This window comes from Homo sapiens, chromosome 10 (assembly GCF_000001405.40).
Source record: "Homo sapiens chromosome 10, GRCh38.p14 Primary Assembly".
Taxonomy (NCBI): domain Eukaryota; kingdom Metazoa; phylum Chordata; class Mammalia; order Primates; family Hominidae; genus Homo; species Homo sapiens.
Window position 1 is genome coordinate 4,957,539 of NC_000010.11, and position 25,745 is coordinate 4,983,283.

General features: G+C 38.5%; 1 protein-coding gene and 1 long non-coding RNA gene across 2 annotated transcripts; one reads left to right on the forward strand and one right to left on the reverse strand.

Annotated features, from left to right (window-relative positions):
* Positions 1 to 5,876: 5,876 nt before the first annotated feature.
* Positions 5,877 to 25,745, forward strand: AKR1C1 (aldo-keto reductase family 1 member C1). The gene is made up of 9 exons (NM_001353.6): positions 5,877 to 5,990; positions 8,376 to 8,543; positions 9,389 to 9,505; positions 10,771 to 10,848; positions 11,284 to 11,406; positions 14,663 to 14,772; positions 15,046 to 15,211; positions 18,313 to 18,395; positions 20,162 to 25,745. The coding sequence occupies exons 1-9, from the start codon at positions 5,907 to 5,909 to the stop codon at positions 20,202 to 20,204; spliced, it is 972 nt and encodes a 323-aa protein (NP_001344.2). The 5' UTR covers positions 5,877 to 5,906; the 3' UTR covers positions 20,205 to 25,745.
* LOC124902365 (uncharacterized) lies at positions 12,275 to 15,123 on the reverse strand. Its single transcript, XR_007062038.1, has 3 exons — positions 14,861 to 15,123; positions 14,382 to 14,491; positions 12,275 to 12,860 (listed from the first exon to the last, which is right to left on the reverse strand). It is a non-coding gene; the product is annotated as an uncharacterized LOC124902365 (long non-coding RNA).

The window sequence follows — 25,745 nt, forward strand, 5'->3', positions numbered from 1 at the left end:
GGCTCAAGTGTACCCCTTTTTGTTCACATAGAACCTCTTCACCCCAGAGAATTGAGTCAACCAAACAGGAAATCTCAGGACAAACAGTGCTGGCAAACATCATTTTGTTTAAAGTATCATATCAATATATATTTGTTGAGAAAATATTCGGAGTTCTTTGCAAACTGTAACACTTGTTCAGAAAAAATAGTGAGAAGAAATTAGGATCATTTATTTACTTGAGGCACATGAGTGTTCTCTATGTATGACTCAAGGACATCCCACTTCTGTCCTCCCTGATCTTCCATCTTCCATCTGCTTTCCATCCTCTTCCCATCTCCCTTTCCTCATATTCCTCTCCCTCTCCCTCACCTGTAGGACTGAGAATTCCTGTGGTCTCCTGAGATCAGTTTCTTTCCACCACATTGTAAACAAGCTGTGGAAAGTTTTAGTTCTTAGCGACTCCACGACCCACACTAGTCAGGCAGAAGCCCCCATGTACAAGGTACCCCTTGAGCCTTGGCAAGGTGCATGACACACACTTGGTCACTGGAGGAAATGATGAGTAGAGAGTGACAAATAGAAGAGGGGAACTTTAAGCTTGAGCCCTCTGGAGTGTAAGAGTGGTTGAGGCTTGGCACTTGCCACCTAGATTTCAGACAATGTGTCAGGAATCCTGGATACCCAGAGAGAATCCTGTTCCAGGGCCGGATCCCCAACATAAAGCTTTTATTTAGGCAATGTTGAGCACTAATATGTGGTTGGAGCTCTGCAGGGGGTCTCCATGGGTGCACTGTGTAGCAAAGCTGTGGGAGAAAGGCCTTACCCCTCAAAATTCCAGAATTATAAATCTACCAGGCGCTAACAACTTCAGCCTGGAAAAGCCATGGGCATTAAACTCCAAACTGTGAGAGCAGCCATGTGGGCTGCACCCTGCAAAGCCACAGGTACAGTGCTTCCCAAAGCCCCCAGAAGCCTACCCCTGTCACCAGTGTGCCCAGAATGAAGAATATAGAGTCAAGGAAGATGATTTTGCAGCTTTAAGGTTTAATTTCTGCCCTGTCGGCTTTATGACTTGCATGAAGCCTCTTCCTCTTCTCTTTAAGCTGACATTTCCCTTTTGAAATGAGATTGTTCAACCACTGCCTATAAAACCATTGTAATTTGGAAGGAAATAACTTGGTTTTTGATTTCACAGGCTCATAGCTGGTAGAAATTTTTCTTGGATCTCAGATAAATCTTTGCATTTTAGACATTTAAGTTGATTCTAAACCTGATAAGGCTTTAGAGACTCTTGAGGTAAACTGATTGGATTTTGTATGTAAGAAAGACCTGAAATTTATGTCTGCAGCTTTTTCTCCTTTATATCCTCAACTAACAATATTTTGGGGTTTCTATGATTCTTTGCTAAAATTTGGATTCCCGTTTCAATTTCTCTTGTGCATAATCTGTAATTATTTTCTCTGTAGTTACCATTGGAATGACATACTGCATCCTATAGTTATACCATCCACTTTGAAATCAATGTGAATTTAACTTCAATTCCATACAAAAACTTCTTTTCCACAGGTACCTTTCTGCTTCACATTATTGATGTCACTAATTGCAACTTTATACATGGTGTACATGTTAACAGAAAGGTATTCTTATTGTAATGTAAATCTTGAAGAAAATGAGAGTAAAAAACAAATTTCACAAATACATGTTTCCACGTTTTTCATACACCTACCTTTACGAGAGGTCTTTATACCTCTATATGACTTCACGTTGCTGTCTAAACTTCTTTCATTTCAAAGTGAATGACTCTCTTAAGCATTTCTTGTAGAGCAGTTCTAATGGCAATGAACTCCTGCAGCTTCTACATCACATAGTCTTACTAACTTTGTAATTTTTAAGAAATAATTTGGCTGGGTGCAGTGGCTAAGGCCTGTAATCCCAGCACACTGGGAGGCCAAGGTGGGCGGATCACAAGGTCAAGAAATAGAGACCATCCTGGCTACCATAGTGAAACCCTGTCTCTACTAAAAATACAAAAATTAGCTGGGCATGGTTGTGCACGCCTGTAGTCCCAGCTACTCAGGAGGCTGAGGCAGGAGAATTGCTTGAACCTGGGAGGCAGAGGTTGCAATGAGCTGAGATCGCACCACTGCACTCCAGTCTAGTGACAGAGCAAAACTCTGTCACAAAAAAAAAAAAGAATTTTTTTTGCCAAATATGGAATTATTGGCTGTAATTTTTTTTAATTGATCACATTAAATGTATCACTTACTATATCCTCCAAAGACTCTCGTAAGAAATCTGTGGATCACCTTGTTCAGGATCCCTTGTACCCCATGATTCTTGTTTCTCTTCCTACTTTTTGTTTTGTTTTGTTTTGTTTTTTATTTATTTATTTATTTATTTTTAATTTTATTATTATTATACTTTAAGTTTTAGGGTACATGTGCACAATGTGCAGGTTTGTTACATATGTATACATGTGCCATGTTGGTGTGCTGCACCCATTAACTCGTCATTTAGCATTAGGTATATCTCCTAATGCTATCCCTCCCCCCTCCCCCCACACCACAACAGGCCCCGGTGTGTGATGTTCCCCTTCCTGTGTCCATGTGTTCTCATTGTTCAATTCCCACTATGAGTGAGAACATGTGGTGTTTGGTTTTTTTTGTCCTTGCGATAGTTTGCTGAAAATGATGGTTTCCAGTTTCATCCATGTCCCTACAAAGGACGTGAACTCATCATTTTTTATGACTGCATAGTATTCCATGGTGTATATGTGCCACATTTTCTTAATCCAGTCTATCGTTGTTGGTCTTTTAGGTTGGTTCCAAGTCTTTGCTATTGTGAATAGTGCTGCAATAAACATACGTGTGCATGTGTCTTTATAGCAGCATGATTTATAATCCTTTGGGTATATACCCAGTAATGGGATGGCTGGGTCAAATGGTATTTCTAGTTCAAGATCCCTGAGGAATCACCACACTGACTTCCACAATGGTTGAACTAGTTAACAGTCCCACCAACAGTGTAAAAGTGTTCCTATTTCTCCACATCCTCTCCAGCACCTGTTGTTTCTTGACTTTTTAATGATCGCCATTCTAACTGGTGTGAGATATTTTTTTTTGGGAGGGGGGATTGAGTTTTGCTCTTGTTGCCCAAGCTGGAGTGCAATGGTGCAATCTCGACTCACTGCAACCTCCACCTCCTGGGTTCAAGCTATTTTCCGGGATTAGCCTCCTGAGTAGCTGGAATTACAGGTGTGCACCCCCATGCCTGGCTAATTTTTTGTATTTTTAGTAGAAATAGGGTTTCACCATGTTAGCCAGGCTGGTCTCGAACTCCTGACCTCAGGTGATCCGCCTGCCTCGGCTCCCAAAATCTCTTGCTATTTAAAGATTATCTCTTTGTCTGGCTTTTAGAGTTGGATGATAACACATACAGATCTGGGTCTCTTAGAGTTTATACTATTTGCAGTTCTTTAAGTGGCCTGAATTTGTAGATTGTTGTCTTTAACCAATTTGAAAAAGTTTTGATGTTTTTATTCTCCAAATAATCTGTCTACCACCATGGGTTTGCACTTCTCCTTCTGGGAATCCAATACTATCATACTGGTCGGCTTGAAGCTGTCCCATAAGTCCCTTAGGACCGGTTCACATTTCTTTATTCTTGTTTCGTGTCCTTAGACTCAGGAACTTCAAATGCGCTATCCCTATGTGTATTGATTATATCTTCATCCTGCTCAAAGTTGCTATTGAAACACCCTCTGGTGAGTTCTTCATTCAGGTACTTTTTTTGCTCCAATTTTTTCCTTTTTTATAATTTCTATATTACTACTGTATCGTGATTTTCTTATTGTTTTCAGATTTTCTGTAGTTCTTAGTCCATATTTTTCATTAGCAATTTTAGCATATTTAAGCAGCTGTTTAAATGCTTCTCTACTAATTTTAATGCCTGTGATTCTTCAGGAAAGATTTCTACTAATTTATTTTCTTTCTCATAATGAACTGTGATTTCTTGTTTCCTTGTATGCCTTGTCATTTTATTTTATTTTTTTGAGCCAGAGTCCTGCTCTGTCGCCAGGCTGGAGTACAGTGGTGCCATCTCGGCTCACTGCAACCTCTGCCTCCTGGGTTCAAGCGATTCCCCTGCTTTAGCCTCCCGAGCAGCTGGGACTACAGGCGTCCGCCACCACGTCCGACTATTTGTTGTTGTTGTTGTTGTTGTTGTTCTTGTTGTTGTTGTTCTTATTTTAGTAGAGACAGGATTTCACCATGTTGACCAGGATGGTCTCCATCTCCTGCCCTCGTGATCTGGCCGCCTCGGCCTCCCAAAGTGCTGGGATTACCACTGCTCCAGGCCTGTATGCCTTGTTATTTTATCTAATTGGGCATTTGAAAAAATAAACATCTTTTTTACTGTATATAGATTTGTTCTATGTCATGACAGTCATTAACTTATATGTGTGGCAGGTTCTCAGTCAAGGCATCAGCCCTACATAAAACCTCAAGTCCTTCTTAGTTTGTTTCTGAACATGCACCTACGTGGACTGTGTTTGCCCTTTTATGTATCCCCAAATAACCAATGGCTTTTGAATTGCTTACTATTATGAAATTTCGCATCCCAGTTTCTCCTCAATGGCTTAGATGGACTATTGCATGTCTCTTCCCCTGGCCTTTTGCCTATAACATCTGTATGTGTATAGTCACCCTGAATCTCTACTGAGCCACTCCAGAAATAAATAAGTTTATTTCAGTCAATTTTAGGTATTTTCTGATGTTTCCATGAGTTATATGGGAATCTTAGAATCCACCATCTTGTTGAAATTACTCTGTGAAAAATTTCAATATCTTTATAATATTACATTTATGTCAATGATAACAATTTACCTATTTTTCAATTTCTGTTTGTTTTATGAAAAAGCAAATAGAAGCAATCAGGGCACTGCAAGTTGTGACTACTCCAAGATGTGAATCATGGATCATGCAAATTACAATCATGTTTTAACCTGACCTCCAAAGGGAGAATAAAGTAAAAATTATCCCATGCGAGGATTATTCACCAGTTTATATGTCATTAGTTACCAGTTTTTCTTTATGAATAATGTTTAGCAATATTATAAAGTATATCTAATAGTTATCATATTTTGGCTTGTTACTTTTTGGTAGCAATTCATAAAAATGGCTGGAAAAGACAAATAAGGCACTGTTTGCATGTTACAAATTATATCCAAAGTCCAAAAGCTGTTAATAAGAAATCTTCCAATAAAACCACATCATATTTTCTTTTTTATTTACACCCACATCAGGATTACAACTTTATCAGGACTGCACCTTGATCAGGAAGGGATGTTTCTCTTACAAGGCTAATAAGAAAGGAACAATAAATTTGCTGATGAAAAAAGTAATGCATTAAAAAATTTTAACTTTAATTTTTAATTGAGGGCAATATTTTAAAGAAATGCTCATTAGTCATTCCTTTAAATTGTGTGTGTGAGAGAGAGAAAAATGAAAATTAGTCATTTCAAATGCTGCAAGATGCAGAAGGAACTCATCATCATGACACAAACAAAAAAGAGCTGTGCCGCTAGAGGTTTCTGTATTCTTATGTAAAGTCACAATTTGTTCTACAAATCTCTTTGAGTAATTTATGTCTCATATATAGAGATCTGGAATAGCAAAAATACTTCAGAGGAAATTAATGAGTGTATCATGACCACATAATAATTTACTTATGAATTTTCTTAGGTAAGAAACGGTTGAACTGGATGCAATTTTTATCACAGCTTGTGTAAGACTGCCTCTGTCCCTCCTCTCACATGCCATTGGTTAACCAGCAGACAGTGTGCTCAGGGGCGTTGCCAGCTCATTGCTCTTATAGCCTGTGAGGGAGGAAGAAAGAAACATTTGCCAGCCAGGCTAGTGACAGAAATGGATTCGAAATATCAGTGTGTGAAGCTGAATGATGGTCACTTCATGCCTGTCCTGGGATTTGGCACCTATGCGCCTGCAGAGGTAACAATAATATTTTTAGTGTTGAGAGTTCAAAGGAGCTAGAGTAAGTGGAAGCTGACCAGGTTGTCAGGCTTGTGTTCCTATGTTACTCTGCATGACTCCCCTTTAAACGTCAGTCTTTGTTCTGCAATGCCATCTTGTCACAGGGTCATCTACTGCTTATTTGTGGCACTGTTTTGTCTTCTGTTTATGTTTATTTCACAGCTTGTCAGAGTCTATACAACTCAGCAGAAAGAACACGGCTTGCCTGCTCCCTCTCTTGAAGATTGATTGCAATGGGAGTGGTTTCTCTGTTTCTTTGTATAGTCGAACAGATATTTACTTCTTCCAAGAAGATACAATTCAGAGGAATTTTTATGGCAAAAGTTAGTGGAGACGGGGTGGATGAAATCTGTTGGGAGAGTATCACTGTTCTGATGGGCGGCCTTGAGCACCACACTGTAATACTAGACCTGGCCTAAAGAGAATTTCTCATGTACTATTCTCACCTCTGGGAAAATTACCTGAAACGATAAAATATCCTCATTTTAAGAAAAAAAAAATACTAGAACCTAACAAGGAAAATTTAAATTCTTTTTCTTTGTTAATATGGGTCAAATTTGTATCAAAATATTGTAACAGAAAAATTTCTTGTTTCTCTGACAGGAAAATTAATGGAATAGATTTTCTTTTCTAGACTTAGCTATTTCTACACTGGAAGAAAACTTGTATCTCAAGACTGTCTTGGGAATACAATGTGTGTGAATAGGGACTAGTTACATAAAATTTGGGTTTCACATTTCTGATCTATACAATATAAGGATTTACAAAGGGACATTTTGAAGACCATTGACAGGAGTGGTTTACTTTGTAATATAAATTGACATGGAGAGGAAGTAAAGATGAGGATACCACTAAAGCTCCAGCTTTGGTAAGCCTTTGAGTACTCATACAGCAAAGAAATGATCAAGGATGGTATGAGGAGAGGGCTGTGAGACCCAGTATCTAGTTCCTTGTAATTCTATGGGAAAAAGAAAGCCTCTGAAATACTTTCCAGATAGGAAAACAGTTTGCTTTGTTTCTGTTTTTGTCATTTAAAAGATATACTTTCAAATCTGTATCCAAATTTGTTACGTAAGTCAATAATTGTAAATTTCACTGCAATCATATGTTTCCTAAAAGAGTTGCCTTGAACTTATGGAACTGAACCCCATTTTGCTAATCACTTACTCCTTGCAGTCTATTTCTTATACAAATCAATATCCTTAGAGTATACATTTTTACACCTACTATTTAGTTCTGTCATGCCGACAGAATGGCTAATGGCTGTGTAGAAAAGACTTGACATAATAGACTGCTATCCATAGACAGGCCTGTTTCCCATATAAACCTGCTGGTATCTGATAAGGTGGATTTCTCACTATTTCCTAACTGATAAGAATGGTGGCTGTAAGTAACTGCTTGTGCAAACTGCGGAGTTTCTGTGCACCTGCTTTCCTTTTGGAGACTTTTGGAAGTTTTGTGCCTGCGAAGCAGAGTGAGTCAATGTAACCAGTCCCAGACAAAATCTTAGTAATGGAGTATGTAGAGAGCATCTCTTGTAGACAACAGTTCACATACATTGACAAAATATGATTCCGGGTAAAGTCAGTGCATTCTGTGCAATATGGTGGGAGAGGAATCACAGGAGCTTACACTGTATTCCTTCATATTTCCTTCCATGTGGCTATTTCCTCGTGTTAATTTCTTTTTTTGTTTGTTTGGTTTTTGTTTTGTTTTTCTGAGATGGAGTCTCGCTTTGTCGTCCAGGCTGGAGTGCAGTGGTGCGACCTCAGCTCACTGCAAGCTCCGCCTCCTGGGTTCACGTCATTCTCCTGCCCCAGCCTCCCCAGTAGCTGGGACTACAGGCGCCTGCCACCATGCCCGGCTAATTTTTTCTATTTTTAGTAGAGATGGAGTTGTTAACCAGGATGGCCTTGATCTCCTGATCTCATGATCCGCCCAGCTCGGCCTCCCAAAGTGCTGGGATTACAGGTGTGAGCCGCCACGCCTGGCCATTCCTTGTGTTAATTTTACCATACTAAAAATAATTAAGATTATATCTATAACTATAGGTTGCATCCTGTTAATTTTTCCAAAAAATGACTGAACCTGAAATTGTTTTGGGGACACTTCCAAACTAGTGGTCAAGCAGTGATTTTTCTGGGACTGCAGAAGTTCCTGCTGTGCCCAACCTTTATTACTAACTGGGAAAGACCCAGGGAGACTGGGATGGGCTCATGATTCTACATACAGAACTCATCCAAGAAAGGAGGAAAAGCTGATTTTTGTGAACGTCGCTACTTGTGCCTGAACTAACTCTCAGGCACATTAGTCAGAAAATACTACCTATGGTTACTCCCCCAGGTTCCTAAAAGTAAAGCTTTAGAGGCCACCAAATTGGCAATTGAAGCTGGCTTCCGCCATATTGATTCTGCTCATTTATACAATAATGAGGAGCAGGTTGGACTGGCCATCCGAAGCAAGATTGCAGATGGCAGTGTGAAGAGAGAAGACATATTCTACACTTCAAAGGTACTGTGCCTATGATGAGCTTGTGTGCACATGTATTTATTGTGATTGTGTGGAGGTGGCAGTTCTATGACTGGATCCATAGTATAGGGTGAATTGTGCTTATTTATTACGATTTATTCACACTTACTCATGTATTAAAACTAATATCAAAGGCAGGAAGTGAAGATGGCTTTCTCATCTTTGCAGTGTTCCAATTCATGCCTTCAAAGTGCCTTTACTTTTTGAGCTCAGCACAGATCAATATGGTTTAACATAGACTATAGAATCAGAAAAAATCCTAATCATATTATATTATTTCTTACCTCCTGGGTGAGTTTCTTACACTTGTTATGATTCTCAGTTTCCATTATTATGTTGATCATAGAGAGAGAAAGCAATATAAGCAAGCTCTGTGAGTATTAAAGAATAACGCCTACATTATCTCAAATTGTGTCCAGCCCAAGTTGACATATTAAAAACTCTGTTTGCTTCCTCAGTTTCTAAACCACAAAGATACTTAATCTTGCCCATTGGGCTGAATAGATGAAATAATTACACTACTAACATGAGTTGTAAAACTTACCAAAGATAATTCAGATAATGGGTATGCTTATGATTTGATAACAACTTTTACCTTTTGAGTAATTTCACTCTTTCATTCAATATATGTACTAACTATATATCCAACATATTATAAAGTTCATCATGATATGGCAGAACAAAAGGCATCACAAGAAGAGAGAGAATAATTTTGCCTGTGGTCATTAGTTTTGAAGTAGTAGAAAATGTCTAAATATTAGGTGGAGCAAACTAGTAAAATTGGCTCAAGTTTTCATTACACAACTTCCTTTCTCTAACCTCTGCAGCTTTGGTGCAATTCCCATCGACCAGAGTTGGTCCGACCAGCCTTGGAAAGGTCACTGAAAAATCTTCAATTGGATTATGTTGACCTCTACCTTATTCATTTTCCAGTGTCTGTAAAGGTAGGCAGCTTGTGTGATCAAATTAATTTCACTTTTGTTCTCAGCATAAATATTGTTTTTATGGATATTTGAACTAAGCATTTTCTTAGGAGGACATAGGGATTATAACATAGAAGAAGAATCCTAAATCTAACTCCTAATTCCTTTCTATGGGATACATTTTGAATCCATACTTCCGTGATTGCATGTCTATAAGAAAAGAAAGTGCAGAACTCTCAAAGCCTCTGCCTCAAAAACTTGAGGAAATGATAGTCATCTCCTTGAAGGCACAAGGTCTTAGTTATGATTCCTGATTTCACCTCTTGGGATGTTCACAGACACAGAGTTTCATGAAGCTGTGGTGTCCAGAAAACCTGCTGCACATAGGGTGCACAATGAGTTTCCATCTTCTTGCCTCTTTTTAAGGGGCGAGAACTCAGTCCGGGAGTGTCTTAAACTACAGACCTTCATGGGAAACCTTGTTGCTTCTGCTTCCTCTCTTTTCACACTGGAGGTTTTATTTTTGCTTAGCCATGAATTCTTGGGTCATTCATAACTTTTGTCTTAAGGTACTGAAAACTAGTCAGGCTAGTTAATGCAAAAGGGTATATTAGATATGATAATGGGAAATCAAAGCCAGGGCTACATTAAGAATTTGATAAAAACTCTAAAAATATATCCTTTCTCCACCCTTATCTCTGCTTTATTACAAAAGGCTTTTTAAGTATTTGTTCCAACCTTTTTCGTTGGTGGCATTTATGGCTTTGGAGCACTGTCAGGCCCATGTTCATTACCGTGAGCTCCTGTGCATCTCCTAATTTCCAAACTAGCCTTGAAAACACCTCCATTGACCATGATTGGTTCATGGTCCTGTGCATGGAACATCATATGTTCAGGGAGATAAAGAACTCTGATAGTGGCACCTGGGTAAAAAGTACAATCCATTATATCTGGATATCAAGATCTTTTGCAGTTGAAGAGAGGTATTGCCACAGAGAAAATTATAGGAGCAGAAGAAAGTCAATGAAAGTCAATGATGACACTCCATTAGGAACCAGAAAGAGGTATTTATTTATACATGTAATAGTTGTAAGAGATTAGAGGGAGCCTGTCACCTGAAGACATTCCTTATACCTTCATATGTAGTACACTCTGTACATACCACTCTCTGGAGCACTGCATCACCTACCTCATGGAGGATTAGTGTCCTTAAATGTACCTCAGAGCATGGCTATGTGTGGAGAAATTGACTTGTGACATCACTAAACTGACTGCTTCTACTTCAGCCAGGTGAGGAAGTGATCCCAAAAGATGAAAATGGAAAAATACTATTTGACACAGTGGATCTCTGTGCCACATGGGAGGTGAGTGTTTGGAGGTGAGAGAACGGATAAGAAAGATGAGGTAGGATACATCTGTTTCCTATCTTCTTAGTACAAGTATGGAAAATGCACCATTGGATCAAAAACTTAGGAACTTTACAAAGGTAGTTTTTGTGAGCAGTGAGGAAAAAGAAATGACAGGCATACAAAAGAGAGAAGTGGAGGAGAAGAATTGGGGGTAAGGAGGACTGGGATTTATTTCCTTGCCTTTTCACTAATCTCTCCAGTTTCCCAAGGAGGAAACAGAAATACTTACTCTTGCAATCACTATCTTCTTCCCCAATTTTCTGTTTTATTTTTTCCCTTTTAAGAACCACGGCTAGCTAGTTTTATTGTCATATCTAGACAGTTGTTACTTTCACAGTTCTGTGTCACATTTATCTTGATCTTCCACACCTCACAATTCCTTTTTCCCAGGCCGTGGAGAAGTGTAAAGATGCAGGATTGGCCAAGTCCATCGGGGTGTCCAACTTCAACCGCAGGCAGCTGGAGATGATCCTCAACAAGCCAGGGCTCAAGTACAAGCCTGTCTGCAACCAGGTGAGCACCCTCAGCCTCCTCTCCTTTCTGTTCTTCATGCCCCTCTTTCTGTCCTATTGCCAAGTATCCATTCATTTAGTCCCACTTATCTTTGTAAAAGAGAAGATTCTAGAGAGCAAAGACTCTGTCTCGAAGGGCATAGAGGGATCTTACTTGTACCCGGCTTAGAAAAGTCTTAGAAAAGGTGTTGTAACTTTGATGCTGAATTGTGTGTTATATTTATGGGAGGTCAATTCAATCAAGGAGGCCAAGGATTGTCAATTAGACTCAGGGAAAGGTGGACTTACCCCTAAGCTATGAAAGATGACCAGAGAATGGATGGGTGAAGGTGATTTGGAGGGAACTGTGCATAGATATGAAGCCGTGAAGAGATGGAATGAACAGTACATAAGGAGAGAGTGAGAGCAAGAGAAGAGAAATACTAGGGATTCACATGGGCTTCGGATGTCTCAGTGCCTCTTGGTGTCTCTGCTTTCACACTTCTTGACCAAGGGCATAGATACACTAAAAATTATCTGCAGACAATGAAGGTCATCCATGGTAGAAAGAGAAAATAACCTGTTTATGGGAGATATCTGTTCACAGTGGATGAAATCCACACTGAGGAAGGTTCAGCAGAACATGGAGCTGACCTATGACTGCCCCCGCTCCTAGTTGGCTGCTCTTCTTTGGAGTCTGTCATGCAATCAGCTGCTTAAACACATCTATTCTCTATGTGTTCCTTTTGTAGCCTAGAGATAATTCCATCTTTTCCTTGAGTCCTGACTGGTGATTCCAGGCCTCCTTGATCAAATTGACTGTCCCCAAATGTTACACACATTTCAGCATTAAAGTTACTACACTTTTCCCAGTAAATTACATTTTTTTGTTTTATTTTATGTTTTAAAACTTAGAGTCAATCAGTGAAGATCTACAGTGGAAATACATATGTATAAAATTAGTGAATTTGGTATAATGATACGGTGCTGTGATAATTTAATAAAAGCATTGAGAAATTAATGTGGTTTTAATACTAGTAGTTCCCCAATTTTTTAATATGGCCATTTTCACACTTTCCAAAAATTTGATAAAAATAATACTGGAGACCCATGTTACCATTTATATTCAAAATTACTAACATTTTGCAATGTTATATGGAGTATATCTGCATAAATACATATAATGTTTCTAGAACCTCTTCAAGGTAAATTGTAAAGATGACAATTGACCCCTAGAGACCTCTCAAAGCATGTCACAGGAATGAAGATATTCTCCCAGTTCCAGTGTCATTACTGTATCTAAGAACATCATCTATAGTGCCCTCATGTCATTTGGTATCCAGTCCATATTTGAATTTTTCCTTGCTTAATCAAAATATCTTTTGTAGCTCTTCTTTTTTTAACCAGAATTCAATTGTTTTTATATTGTTGTATTTTGATATCAGTTAACTTGTTTTTCCCAGTTGTTGAAGGTTTCTGTAAATTAGAAGTTAGATGAGAGTGTTTTATTACATTGACTTAAACCTTTGGGGCAAGAAAATATTTTTATCATGCTGTGTTTTTCAAATTGCACCACACTAGACTGCATACAATCACAGAATGCCCCACTAGTGGTGAAGGTAGTTTTAAAAACTTGGTTAAGCTCCAACAATGATAGACTGGATTAAGAAAATGTGGCACATATACACCATGGAATACTATGCAGCCATAAAAAATGATGAGTTCATATCCTTTGTAGGGACATGGATGAAACTGGAAATCATCATTGTCAGTAAACTATCGCAAGAACAAAAAACCAAACACCGCATATTCTCACTCATAGGTGGGAATTGAACAATGAGATCACATGGATACAGGAAGGGGAATATCACACTCTGGGGACTGTTGTGGGGTGGGGGGAGGGGGGAGGGATAGCACTGGGAGATATACCTAATGCTAGATGACGAGTTAGTAGGTGCAGCGTACCAACATGGCACATGTATACATATGTAACTAACCTGCACAATGTGCACATGTACCCTCGAACTTAAAGTATAATAAAAAAAAAAAAACTTGGTTAAGCTAACAGTGGTCAGATCTGTTGTTTTTAACTCATGTTTTCTCTTTAACAATTACTAGTAATCTGCTGGGGGATAATTCTCAACAGAAGAAGTCATATTCCCATGACAAATTTTCACATATGATTGAGTATACATCAGTGATTTGAACTTTTTTCTACTGCATTTCTGTTTTCTTCTTTGTTATTTCTTATTTGTTATTTCCTTGGGGTTTTTACATAATCATTTACAATTTTAACCACTTGTTTAACTATTCTTACCTGACATTTAATTAAAAATGATTTCTCACCAAGTAAAAATAATAAACTACTATTCCTCTAAGTGAGGGTAAAGGTGAACTTCTTCCTTCAATTAGCAATGTACTGTGAACGTAATTACTGTAATGACCACCATCAGAGTAGACAAAGATTGTTGTTCTTTTTCTCATTGTCGCACTAATTACTACAGACTCACGGATTCTTGTGTTATGATTTTTAATTTATTTTACTCATTTTTTAATGCTCACATCTACTCAGCATATATATATTATATATATATATATATAAAATATATATGAAAGAAGAATGTGATCAAAGACTCATGAGGGCAAGTGTAAAAGACAAAAGCACTTGTTTCATAGGGAACCCACTGGTGACATTTGAGATATCAACATACAAATCCATCATACAAAAAGGAAAAGTAATGAAAGACTGTGAAAATTATCAGTATTTATGTGTGTATGTATATTTTCTAGTTCATCTATATAGATATATATCATAGATGGCATATATGATATATATATTATATGTCAGATCAATTAGAAAACATACATATACATGTATGCATTTTTGGTATTAATTAGGAAACTAGTTCTTTTGTCTTTCAGACCTGCCCTCATGAGTCTTTGACCAAATTCTTGATTTCTGGCACGATTTGATGCCCAAGGCTCAAAGAATCTTACCTCATCCCAGCTCTGAAATTGGCCGTGTCTCGTTCTAGTGGTCGGAGTTATTGAGAAACCAGGATAGGGTTCATGGAGTTGCTTGTGCTCAGAAATAGCATTTCTATTTTCTTAGGAGAGAGGGGCATAAAATTTATTTTTATGAAAAAGATCATTTTTGACAATAATATTCTCAGTTCAAATTTAATGCTCTACATTATTCAGCTTCTTTTACTTTGGTGATTTTAATATTAGTGTAACTTTTGGATTATCTGATGCTTTTCCATCTTGCTCGTCTGCAGGTGGAATGTCATCCTTACTTCAACCAGAGAAAACTGCTGGATTTCTGCAAGTCAAAAGACATTGTTCTGGTTGCCTATAGTGCTCTGGGATCCCACCGAGAAGAACCATGGTAATAAGAGATACAGGAAGTTTACCTAAAACACCGGTTTGATAAAAAAAATTTAATCAGATCATGCTGTTTCCTGGAGTTCACTCACAGCTGACTTGGGGTGAGGGAAGAATTTGCATTTCTGACGAGATCCCAGGTGATGTTGAGGCTGCTGTTCGGGGGCCTCGCTTGAGAAGCTCCGGTGCAGAGTGGACGCCTTAGTCTGTTTAGGGAGCCGCCTAACAAACTGTATCCCCAGCCTCAGGGCCTCAGCCTTTCTGCCTTTCCTTCCAGGGTGGACCCGAACTCCCCGGTGCTCTTGGAGGACCCAGTCCTTTGTGCCTTGGCAAAAAAGCACAAGCGAACCCCAGCCCTGATTGCCCTGCGCTACCAGCTACAGCGTGGGGTTGTGGTCCTGGCCAAGAGCTACAATGAGCAGCGCATCAGACAGAACGTGCAGGTGAGGAGCGGGGCTGTGGGCCTCAGGTCTCCTGCACAGTGTCCTTCACACGTGTGCTTCTTGTAAGGCTCTCAGGACAGCCTTGGGCCAGCTCCATTTCCCTGTATTTCCTATGCATGAACTCTTTGTGTACGTCATAAGGGTTTCTTCTACTCTAGCACAGGAGAGGCAACAGAGGTGGAGAGAAATAGGATGGGATCAAAACTACAGATTTGGGTTAGCGTTAAGTCAGTGATATCCATATCCCTCTGCTGGGGCCATGTCCTTTTCTTTATTTTTTATAATGAAGCATTGATTAGATGTTCTTTAGTCTCCAACTCATGGCGGATTTTTCTTCTTGTATGTTTATGTAGTATAAATTCCTTATATTTATTCTCTTAGAATTTTATCTTTGCGAAGTGCTTGTTTAACTCTGCCTTTTTTTTTTTGGCGAGGTGGTTGTGTGTCTTTATTTTTATGTGTAGGAGACCATATTTATACCAATACCTTAGGATATAAGACAAACCCACTTAATATAGAGGCTTAATGCAAAAGCATTTATTGAGCTCAAGGTTCCATGGTTAGAAAATTAGCCTGGGCTCAGCCTAAACTCAGTCCATTCCTTCTGTTCCTGGCTGGGCTCTCATGTGTGTTCAGGGCAGTGAGGCAGCTCTGCTTCAGGATGTCCCTGGGGCATCTGTGTGAGCGCCCCCCTCTCCCATGCAGTTCTTTATCCTCCAGCCATCCAGCCCAGGGTTCACCTCAGCACAGGGCATGACCCCAAGGCAGTGAGTGGACATGTGCAAAGCCTTTTCAGGTCTAGGCTCAGAGCTGCCAACCATTGCTTCTGGGAAATTCTATCACCTAATGCAAGTTACAGGACAGGTCAGACTCAAGGGGTGGGGAAAAAGACACCACCTCTTGTTGGAAGGAGCTGGAAATTCATATAACCAAGCAAGTGGATACAGGGACATGTGATTGTTAGAGGGCATGTTCCTAATTAATCTATCATTTATACGATATGTGTGAAATAACATATTAATAGTTATATGTATGAATATGAATATATATAAATTGATATACTATTTCATATATTCTTAAGAATACATCCAAGTCTCTAAAGAATTAATATCCAGAATACATGCATATATATGTTTTCTAATTAGTTATATACAGATATATGAAATATCATATATGATATATATTATAAAACCTATGTCACATATATGACATATATCATGTATATGTATATGTGTCACTATTTGCTAAAACATTAAGTAAAATCAGTGTAGAAATCCATAGGATACTCTGAAATAATGATACAGAGAATGAGAAAGAAAGTAAAAAATGACAATGAAACAATTGATGAATCTAGGTAATGGCATTTACTATATTATTTTAAAAATATTTTTAGACATTAGAAAACCCACAAAACTAAAAGGAAATATTATGAAATAACTGTGGAAATTATCAGTATTTATACATATGTGTATGTTCTCTAATTCATCTAGTATATATAGATATATGACATATGTGTTATATAATATATATGTTAGATTAACTAGAAACCATACATATATATGTATTTATTCTGGATATTAATTCTTTAGAGACTTAAATGTATTCTTGAAATAACATCTCCCAAATTTTACCTGTGTTGTCATATTCTCTGTGGTTATGTTTTCACAAACAAAAGTTTCTATCCTTCATGTAGACTAATTTTTCATGCCTCTTTCTTGTGGTTGGTGAGTGTTGTGTCTTATCCTATATTGGGAATATCACAATATATTACTGTGTTATCTTACAAAATTGTTAATATTCTTTCCTTATAAATTTGGTTAATTCTAATGGGATTGACTTTTTAAATACTGTATGAGATAAGGATCCAAATATGCATATCTAATTTTTGAATTTTTAGCAAAATTTCCCACCAACATTTATTGAAAAGTTCATATTTGCTCACATAACTTGATTTTTTTACCTGTAACATATATGAAATGTCCATGAGCAATTATCTGGCCTCTCTTCCATCTTCAGTTAACTTATTTACTTTTCTGTACTATGATGTTAAAAAGTAAGTTTCACTTCCAGTATGGTACAAATATTTTTCTAACTTCTTCATTTATTTAATAATATCTTAGCTATTCTTGACTAATGTGTTATTTAAAACTTTGAATCATCTTATTAACTTCCACAAGCAAATAAATGTTTAGTCTCTTGTTGACATTGTAATAAGCCTCCAGATCAATGTGGAGAGAACTAAATGTTTGACAATATTGAGATTTCCAATGCATGATCATAATATGAATTTCCCACTTATTAATAGCCTTTTAATAAATATATAATTAATTTCATAACTTTCTCTGTTACTGATGATTTTAATAGTTTTTGATAACTTTTCATTTTTGTTTTATGGATTTTCTAATATATAGAAATATTAAAAGAATAATGCAACAAATCTTCTTACCTACATTCATCAAGTGTTACATTGCTGTCATTTTTTACTCTCTTTCTCTCATTTTCTGTATTACTCCTTCAGTTTCCCTATGGATTTATACACTTATTTGATTGAATGTATTAGAAAGAGTGACATCTTTTTGATATTTAGAGTCTCCCAAATTTACATAGTGAGAGTACCCACACCTTTTGAATGTGAAATCGTTAGTATTTAGACAATTATTGGCTTGAGTGATGTTGAAAACTAATTTTTCCTATTATACCTGTTCATTGGAGAGATAGATATTCAATGTTATTCATCAAACCTACTAAATTATGCTAGACATTACAAAATTTGCCTCTAGATTCTTGTGGGTCTTCTAGGTACATGACCCTATCATGTGGGCACAAAGTAAGCTCTGTTTCTTCTTCAGCTTCCTCTGAGATATTCTCTTCATCTGCAGTGTTGTGCAGTTTCAAAATATTTTATCTGGGAATGGATTTCTGCTTATTTTTGACTGGTTTTCATTGACCACTTGGGTGTTTAGAGAGGTCTTTCATAAATTTTGGAAACGTATCAATCTTTTAAGTATTGTCTCTGCACCCTACTGTCTGATGAACTTGGTTGTTCCCAATTGGCAATGATGTAATCTAAAAATAATTAAAGTTTTCTATTACTTTGATAGGTGTTTGAATTCCAGTTGACTTCAGAGGAGATGAAAGCCATAGATGGCCTAAACAGAAATGTGCGATATTTGACCCTTGATATGTAAGTAATTTTGGAGATGGTTGTCCTAATTTATTTTCAGAGGAGGAACGTAGGATGGGTGTTGAGAGTGACCTCCACACCAGGGGCACAGAGGCCAACGTGAGACAGAGGTGAGACAGGAGCTTTCTGGAAGTCTCCTCCTGGATTCACTCCAGAGCTCTGTTCTCTGGCAGGGAGAGTGGCCTGGGGTCAGCATGGGTCAACCTGTGCCTCTGCTCTCGTGACTCCAAGGAACTTTCCAGAGCAGCCAAGATCATTGCTGAATCTGCACCTTCCATGTAGGCCTGCTGTTTGTGCTACTGTCTAGTGTACACACTGTGGATATTGCCCATGTGGTCGCATTAGATGTTTCCAAATCTGTGCTTCTATCTTGTTCTTCCCAACCTGCTCAATGTCTTACCAGATCAAAGGCAGTTCCGTCAATCTTGTGGGCCAGGTTCCAATTCCCACCTCTTTCACATGGAATTGCTTGCTGGATCCTGTCGATTTAGCATTTTTAATCATTTCAAACCTTTTTCGTGCCTGTCTTTGCATGTTTGCCCATGAGCCAAACACTGCATTTGCCTCCAGAAAGTCTGTCTTAGTGAAGCGAATAGGAGCACTTGGCCTTGGTGTTCTGCAATATGGAGATCTCAGTGCAGAGAATGAAGAAATGTTAAAATCAAATGCAGAGTGTAGATGCAAAAGCACCATTGTTGGAGATAATTTATAACCAATAACAGAAGTTTACTATTCCTCTGTGTTCTAAGGTTCTAGGATTCATAGAAGGTCATTCATATAATGAGGGAAAAAAGAAGTTATGTAACTGCTGGCAGTAGGGATTTCAACAAGTAATAGAGATGATGAGATAATGTGTGAAAAAAACAAGCACAATGGTACATCATAAGTACCCAAAATTTGGTGGATATTATTAGTAGTATTTTATTCATTTAGAGGAAAATACAAAATGAAAACGGAGATGATAAAAAGAAAAGGAAAAGTGGCAAGCATTAGAAAGTTTTAAAACCAATTAATGTTTTTGGGGATCATGAAATCAATCACTAGTGTTATTTTGTAGAACTCAAATATGGTCTGGAGTAAACCACTTGCGAGCTTCCAAGTGTTTGCTCTTGGTGTAATCAAAAAGGATAGGCTCAATTCCCTAATTAATAAGTTGTAATTGTACATGTGAGCAGTCATTTATCTGTGTCTTTACATTTTGTGTTATTTCTGCCTATAAAATGGTTTATACATTGTAGCTCTTTGGATATTGGACCCTATATCAAAAACAACAATTTACATTTCTGAATCTAACCAACTATGTTGCATATGATAGGCAGGTAGTAATATGTAAAGTAATTAAGTATAATTGCTACCAGTATAATCATCACACTCAAAATTGTTTATTAGTGATGAGCATATGTCTTGCTTATTCCTCTTCAATGTAAGGCAGTATAGTTCCATTTTTACTGAGAATTTGAAATAGAAAAGGTCAGTATATCTCTTTGCTCTGTTGACAGATGTAGAGAAATATGTTTGAACATTTCACTTTGTGTGTTTTATGTGTTAAGTTCCAGGCAGGGGAATAGAATTAAATTATTCTTTATTTTGAAAATACAGATATGATAAAGTCACATTCATTAAACAAAGAAACACAGATTCTAGAGCAGTCAGAAAATGAACTTCTTAACATCTACACTAGCGGCAGCTTCCTAGAAATCACTGCACTACCCGCTAGTAACGGAGTCATTGCCATTCAGAGTGTGCATTTTTTTTTCTCTTTCCAGTTTTGCTGGCCCCCCTAATTATCCATTTTCTGATGAATATTAACATGGAGGGCATTGCATGAGGTCTGCCAGAAGGCCCTGCGTGTGGATGGTGACACAGAGGATGGCTCTATGCTGGTGACTGGACACATCGCCTCTGGTTAAATCTCTCCTGCTTGGTGATTTCAGCAAGCTACAGCAAAGCCCATTGGCCAGAAAGGAAAGACAATAATTTTGTTTTTTCATTTTGAAAAAATTAAATGCTCTCTCCTAAAGATTCTTCACCTACTTTGGTCTCCATAACTTCTATGTTTTCTTTCCTTCTGACACACTAGTGCCCCTAAATTGTGATTTGCCTATACGTTTAGGGCCGGGGTTGGAAGATGTTAACAACCATTTAAGATTCATTTCTGCAGTGGGAGTGGGTGGAGTTTCACCCTCTGGGAAAGGGGCAGGTGACAGGTATTTATCAGTCAGTGCCTCTCTAGCTCTTGTAGGAAGAAGCACACGCAGGATGGAGTCTAGAGGATGAGCGATATTGACTAGCAATTCATGGGCTCCCTCCAGCAGTGCGAGGGTCAGAGTTTCTGGAGCCTTGGGAGGAGGCATCCCTGTGAGGGGGGGTTAGGGAGATGGGAGGGCACCAGGAAAAGTGATTAGAAGTCAGGTATGGGAAGGCTAAATAGGACAGAGTCGAGTACATCTCTGCTTGGAAAAACATATCAACACCCTTTTTTTTGAACATTATATCTTGCTCATAAAAGAAAACTTTCCACATTGTTTTAACAAACCCCACAGCTGAGAGTCAGGCCTGAATCTTTGATGTGTGCCCATTCACAACGTTGACCCTATTGGTTTGTGGTGGGGCAGGGCATCAAAGACATCATTGACTAATCACATTCCCCTGAATAGCTCATATTTAGAAAATATTCTTAGATTCTAAAAATGTACTATTAATTTGTGATATTCAGTCTTTTAAATATTTTATACATTAAACAGGCATAGTTACAAATATAAAACAAAAATATCCCAAAGCCATTATGCATGGCACTCAAGATTAAAATGGGAAATAATACATCTAATAAATCAAATGTTCCAAGACTTCAAAGGTCTTTTGGAAACAGGCTATGTAAAACAGCACACTGGTTTCAAACTTTGGTAAATTTTAAGAACAACTCTTACAAAGGCATTTAATTCTTATACATAATTTTCAGGGGACCTAAGTTAATCAGCTAATCATGAAGACATGATTTTCATTTTAGAAAACACTTTTGAAAACTTGGGATAATCTCATGCCTTAATGATCAAAGCATTATGAGAAGGACAGTGGTTTTTAACCTGGGCATATGTTCTAACACATTTACTCTCCACTATTCGTACTCTGGTAGCCATGTTAACCCCATCAGAGATTCCTTCTCAAGCCATGTCTCAGAGCTGAGAGGCATCCCAGCAAGTTTTGCAGCTCACAGTTTTTTCCGTAAATTACTTATTCTATAAAATTGGAGTAGGCCATAAACTTTGGAGGGCCCTAGACCAATTTTTTGGATTATTTTTCGTCTTCTATCATTCCGCTGATCTTAGATATTCTCTGCATTAAATATTAAATATCACTTCTAGGCTGAAAAATCCCCCTAAAAATATTTCTAGCTCAGATTTTTCCTCCAAATTCTGCAATAGAAGATCACAATGTGAACTCTGCATCTCCATGTTAAAGTCTAATGGACATTCACACTTAGCATGTCTCAAAGAAATCTCATGTAAACCATGGCCATCCTGTTCTACCTTAACTTTCTGAGTCTATGGAATGATAATTTCACATCTCATAAACTTGACTGATGTAAGTGTCAAGAAAAGATTGACATTTTGTTAAAAGTTAGTAGTGAAGTGTGTAACGCTTAAGCAAACTTTCATATTTCAAATCTCTTTAGCAAGTGTAACTCTTTTTTCAAGATGTGAAATAATCATTAGGTCAGTCATTTGTAAATAGTACATCTGCTATGGACTTTTTCCAGTTCTTCACCATCCATTTTTATAAAACTCTTATTGTTAAAAAAAAAGTTACTCAGAATTTCATAAAGCCAAACACCTGATTTCAGGAACACTTGAGATGTAAGAAAATTTTATAGGGACCTCCAATCACTAATTTTCCTATTTTTTCTCTCAAAGAAATGCTGAAGGGAGGAATTCAGGTTGAATGAAAGGAAATAGTAACTTACAGCCATATAGAGTTATAAAGACTTCTTGTAAATGTGAACATATGGTAAAATATAAAAACATGTATTTTTGAAATTTTGGATTCTACTCATTATTTTACTTCAATTTAAGATATAAATGTATAGAAATAAGTATAATTCTAAGCTAATACGTATGCAATGTAGGAAGCTGTAATTACTGACCAAAACTATGTGAAGTGGAGAAAACCTGGGGAAGTGGATGGTTTTAGATGAAACTGAAGTTAAATTCATATTGATTTAAAGTAAATTGTTATAACTTTATAAAGTTTTTCATCATCACCACAGCAATCACAAAGAGAATAATTATGAATATACGCAAGAGGAAATGAGAAGGGAATCCAAATGTCATTAAAAAAAAATCACGCCACCTCACAAAATGGTAACAGTGGATATAAAGGATAGAAAGCTATAAACCTGGTAGGAAAACATTGAAAATGGCACAAGTGACTCCTTCCCTGTCACCAATGACAGTCATGTGTTGCATAATGCCTGGGCTATCTTCTGAGAATGGCTTTGTTAGGCAACTGTGTCATGGTGGGGACATGATAGCATTAGAGAGAATTCTCTCAAACACTGTCATGGCCTTATCAACTATGCTTCTGTAATATTCTGAATCCTTCGCTGCCTTTCCAACAGTGTTTACAACGGTTTCCTAAGAAATGAAATCCATTTCACCAAACCACTTTTCTTGCTCATCCATAAGAAACACTTCTCCTTTGTTAAAATTACATCATGAGATTGCAAGCATTCAGTAACTTGCAAGCTCCAATTTGAATTCTAGTTGTCTTGCTATTTCCACCACATCTGCAATTACTTTCTCCACTGAAATCTTGCATTCCTCCAAGTCATCCAGGAGGGTTGAATTCACTTCTTTCAAACTCCTGTTCAAGTAAATGTTTTGCCCTCCTGTCACGAATCATGAATGTTTTTAATGGCATCTAGAATAGTAAATCTTTTTCAGAAGATTTTCAATTTTCTTTTCCCAGGTTCTTCAGACAAGTCACCATGGTAGCTGTAGACTTATGAAATGTATTTCCTGAACCATAAAACAAGAACATCAAAATTACTCTATGATCCATGGGAAACAGAATGCATGTTGTGTTAGCAGGCATGGAAAGAACAGTAATCTCTTTCAACCTCTGTAAGAGAGTTCTTGGTTGATTAGGTACCTTGTCGATAGGCAGTTCTAATTTCAAAGAACTTTTTCTTTTGCTGAGCAGTAAGTCTTAACAGTGGGCTTAAAATATTCAGTAAACCATTATTTAAGGAGATGTGGCTTAAATATCTAGGCTTTCTTGCTTTATTTATAGAACACTTACAGAGTAGATATAGATTAAATCTTAAGGACCCTAGGATTGTTAGAATAGTAAATGAACATCATATGTTGTAATATAGTTAGCCAGGGAGGGGAAAGATCTCTACAAGAAATAATTTTAAAAACTACTCAAAGAAATCAGAGATATCACAAAATGACAAAACAAGTACAGGGGCAGCAAAAGGTAACAGATGTCAACTATGAGATCTCATCAAGAACTAAGAAAATGGAGAAAAGTACCAGATGGCAGATGGGAGGCAGTGTGAGCATGCCTCTCCCACTTGGAGATTAGTGTGTAGAGATTTACATTGTGAATTTCTTTTCAAGAACCAATGCAGAGACTTAACAGATATATGAAAAAATTTCACATACACTCTGAAGAAGTCTCAGGCACAATCCTACTCCATGAAATAAGAAAAAACCATCACATCCCCAGATTCTGAGGGGAGAGAGTTCACTCCAGAGCATACATCCCCACTGGGGATCTGGAAATTCAGGCCACAAGAGAAGGCTTTGATCCTGTGCGGACAAGTGCCTTGAGCAGAATCCACAGGGGAGAGCTGGAAGTGCATGGCAGATATGAGCACAGAAGCTGGGTGTCCAGCCTTGTGGGCAGACCGGGAGGGATGTGGCCTGAAAGCCATGGTTATTATCTCAGCGTGTAAGCTGATGATCTGAGGCTGGTCAGAGTTCTGTGCGCAGACTGCCTGGATGTAAACCTGGCACTGTTAGCAGAGCACTGCATGAATGAAAGGAATGAAAATAGCCTTGCCAACTGCATAGGTGCTGGGTGAGGCTCACTGTGGGGGGCGCACGGCAAGCTATTCAACATTACGTACAGGCATTTGAGGTCGGGGCATGGAAAAATACTGAGGCAGTGTGTGTATGTTATTTGTGCTGAGAATGAAACTCCTTGACCTTGAAAACAGGACAGGGAGTGGTGTGTGTGCTGTGATAAGGAATGCTGAAAACGGTCTCCTGAGAATGCGGTTTGAGTGCTTTTACAAGGCCACAGGTGTCTCACGACCTGACCTCATAAAGCCATCTAGTGGATGTTTGTGGCTTAACAAGCCCCTTCAATAAGTACTTGGCGGAGGGATGCTGGGGGGACCTTCTTAGAAGAGCTGCGCCCCACCCCCCTCCCTGGACAGCCCAGCTACAATTGTCTGAGAACTCACTGCAAGCTGTAAGCGGCCCACTACTTCCCACTCCCTTTTTTGAACTCTTCTGTGCAGCAGAGGCAATTAAACTCTCCTCTGGAACATTACCCCAGCAGCCTGAGAACCACCCCTTGGCGCTCACAGGGGCTGCAGCCTGCCTTATCCAAGGACAGTTAGAGTGCAGACCCACCTAACCCTGGACCCACTGGTGGTACCCATCCACCCATCCTGGTAGCTTAACACAAAGATACACTTTTAGGAGCTTCATAGCCCCTCTTCCCCCATTGCCTGAGAAACCACTTTCCCTGGGCAACTTAGGGCAAGCTCAAATCCCACTGCTACCACCACAGCTGGTGCTCTTTTGCAAGTGCCACCTCCTAGCTGGAGACCAACCAGCACAGTCCACACAGCACCTCAAGGAAGAATAAATAGAACTGTTCCCAGGAAGGAGAAAATGCCTGCATGAGCTCAGCTGTTACCACTGCGTACCACACCCTGACCAGTCAGAGGTCTTGAGTCGGTCCGCATGACAAGTTCACCGCTCGCATAACCAGCATTCAAGAAAGCCAGCACACTAAGCCTATCTACAGCCAGGGAGTCTCAGAGTCTACGTCACTCCCCTGCCACCTCAATCAGAGCTGGTGCTGGTATCCACTGCTGGGAGACTTGTGCTGAGGTGAAGCCTGGGCTGGATGGCTGGAGGATGAAGAACTGCACGGAGGAGATGGAGGCACCCAGACAGATGCCCCATGGACATCCTGAAGCAGAGCTGCCTCACTGCCCTGCACACACATGAGAGCGCAGCCAGGAACAGAAGGACTGGGCAACATTCAGGCGGAGCCCAGGCCAATTTTCTAAACATGGAATATGAGTTAAATAAATGGCTTCGTATTAAA

Coding starts and splice junctions, on each gene's coding strand:
- AKR1C1 (NM_001353.6), top strand. CDS start 5,907: ATGGATTCGAAATATCAGTGTGTGAAGCTGAATGATGGTCACTTCATG. Junction 10,849..11,283: donor ATCTCTGTGCCACATGGGAG/GTGAGTGTTTGG, acceptor CCTTTTTCCCAG/GCCGTGGAGAAGTGTAAAGA. Junction 11,407..14,662: donor ACAAGCCTGTCTGCAACCAG/GTGAGCACCCTC, acceptor GCTCGTCTGCAG/GTGGAATGTCATCCTTACTT.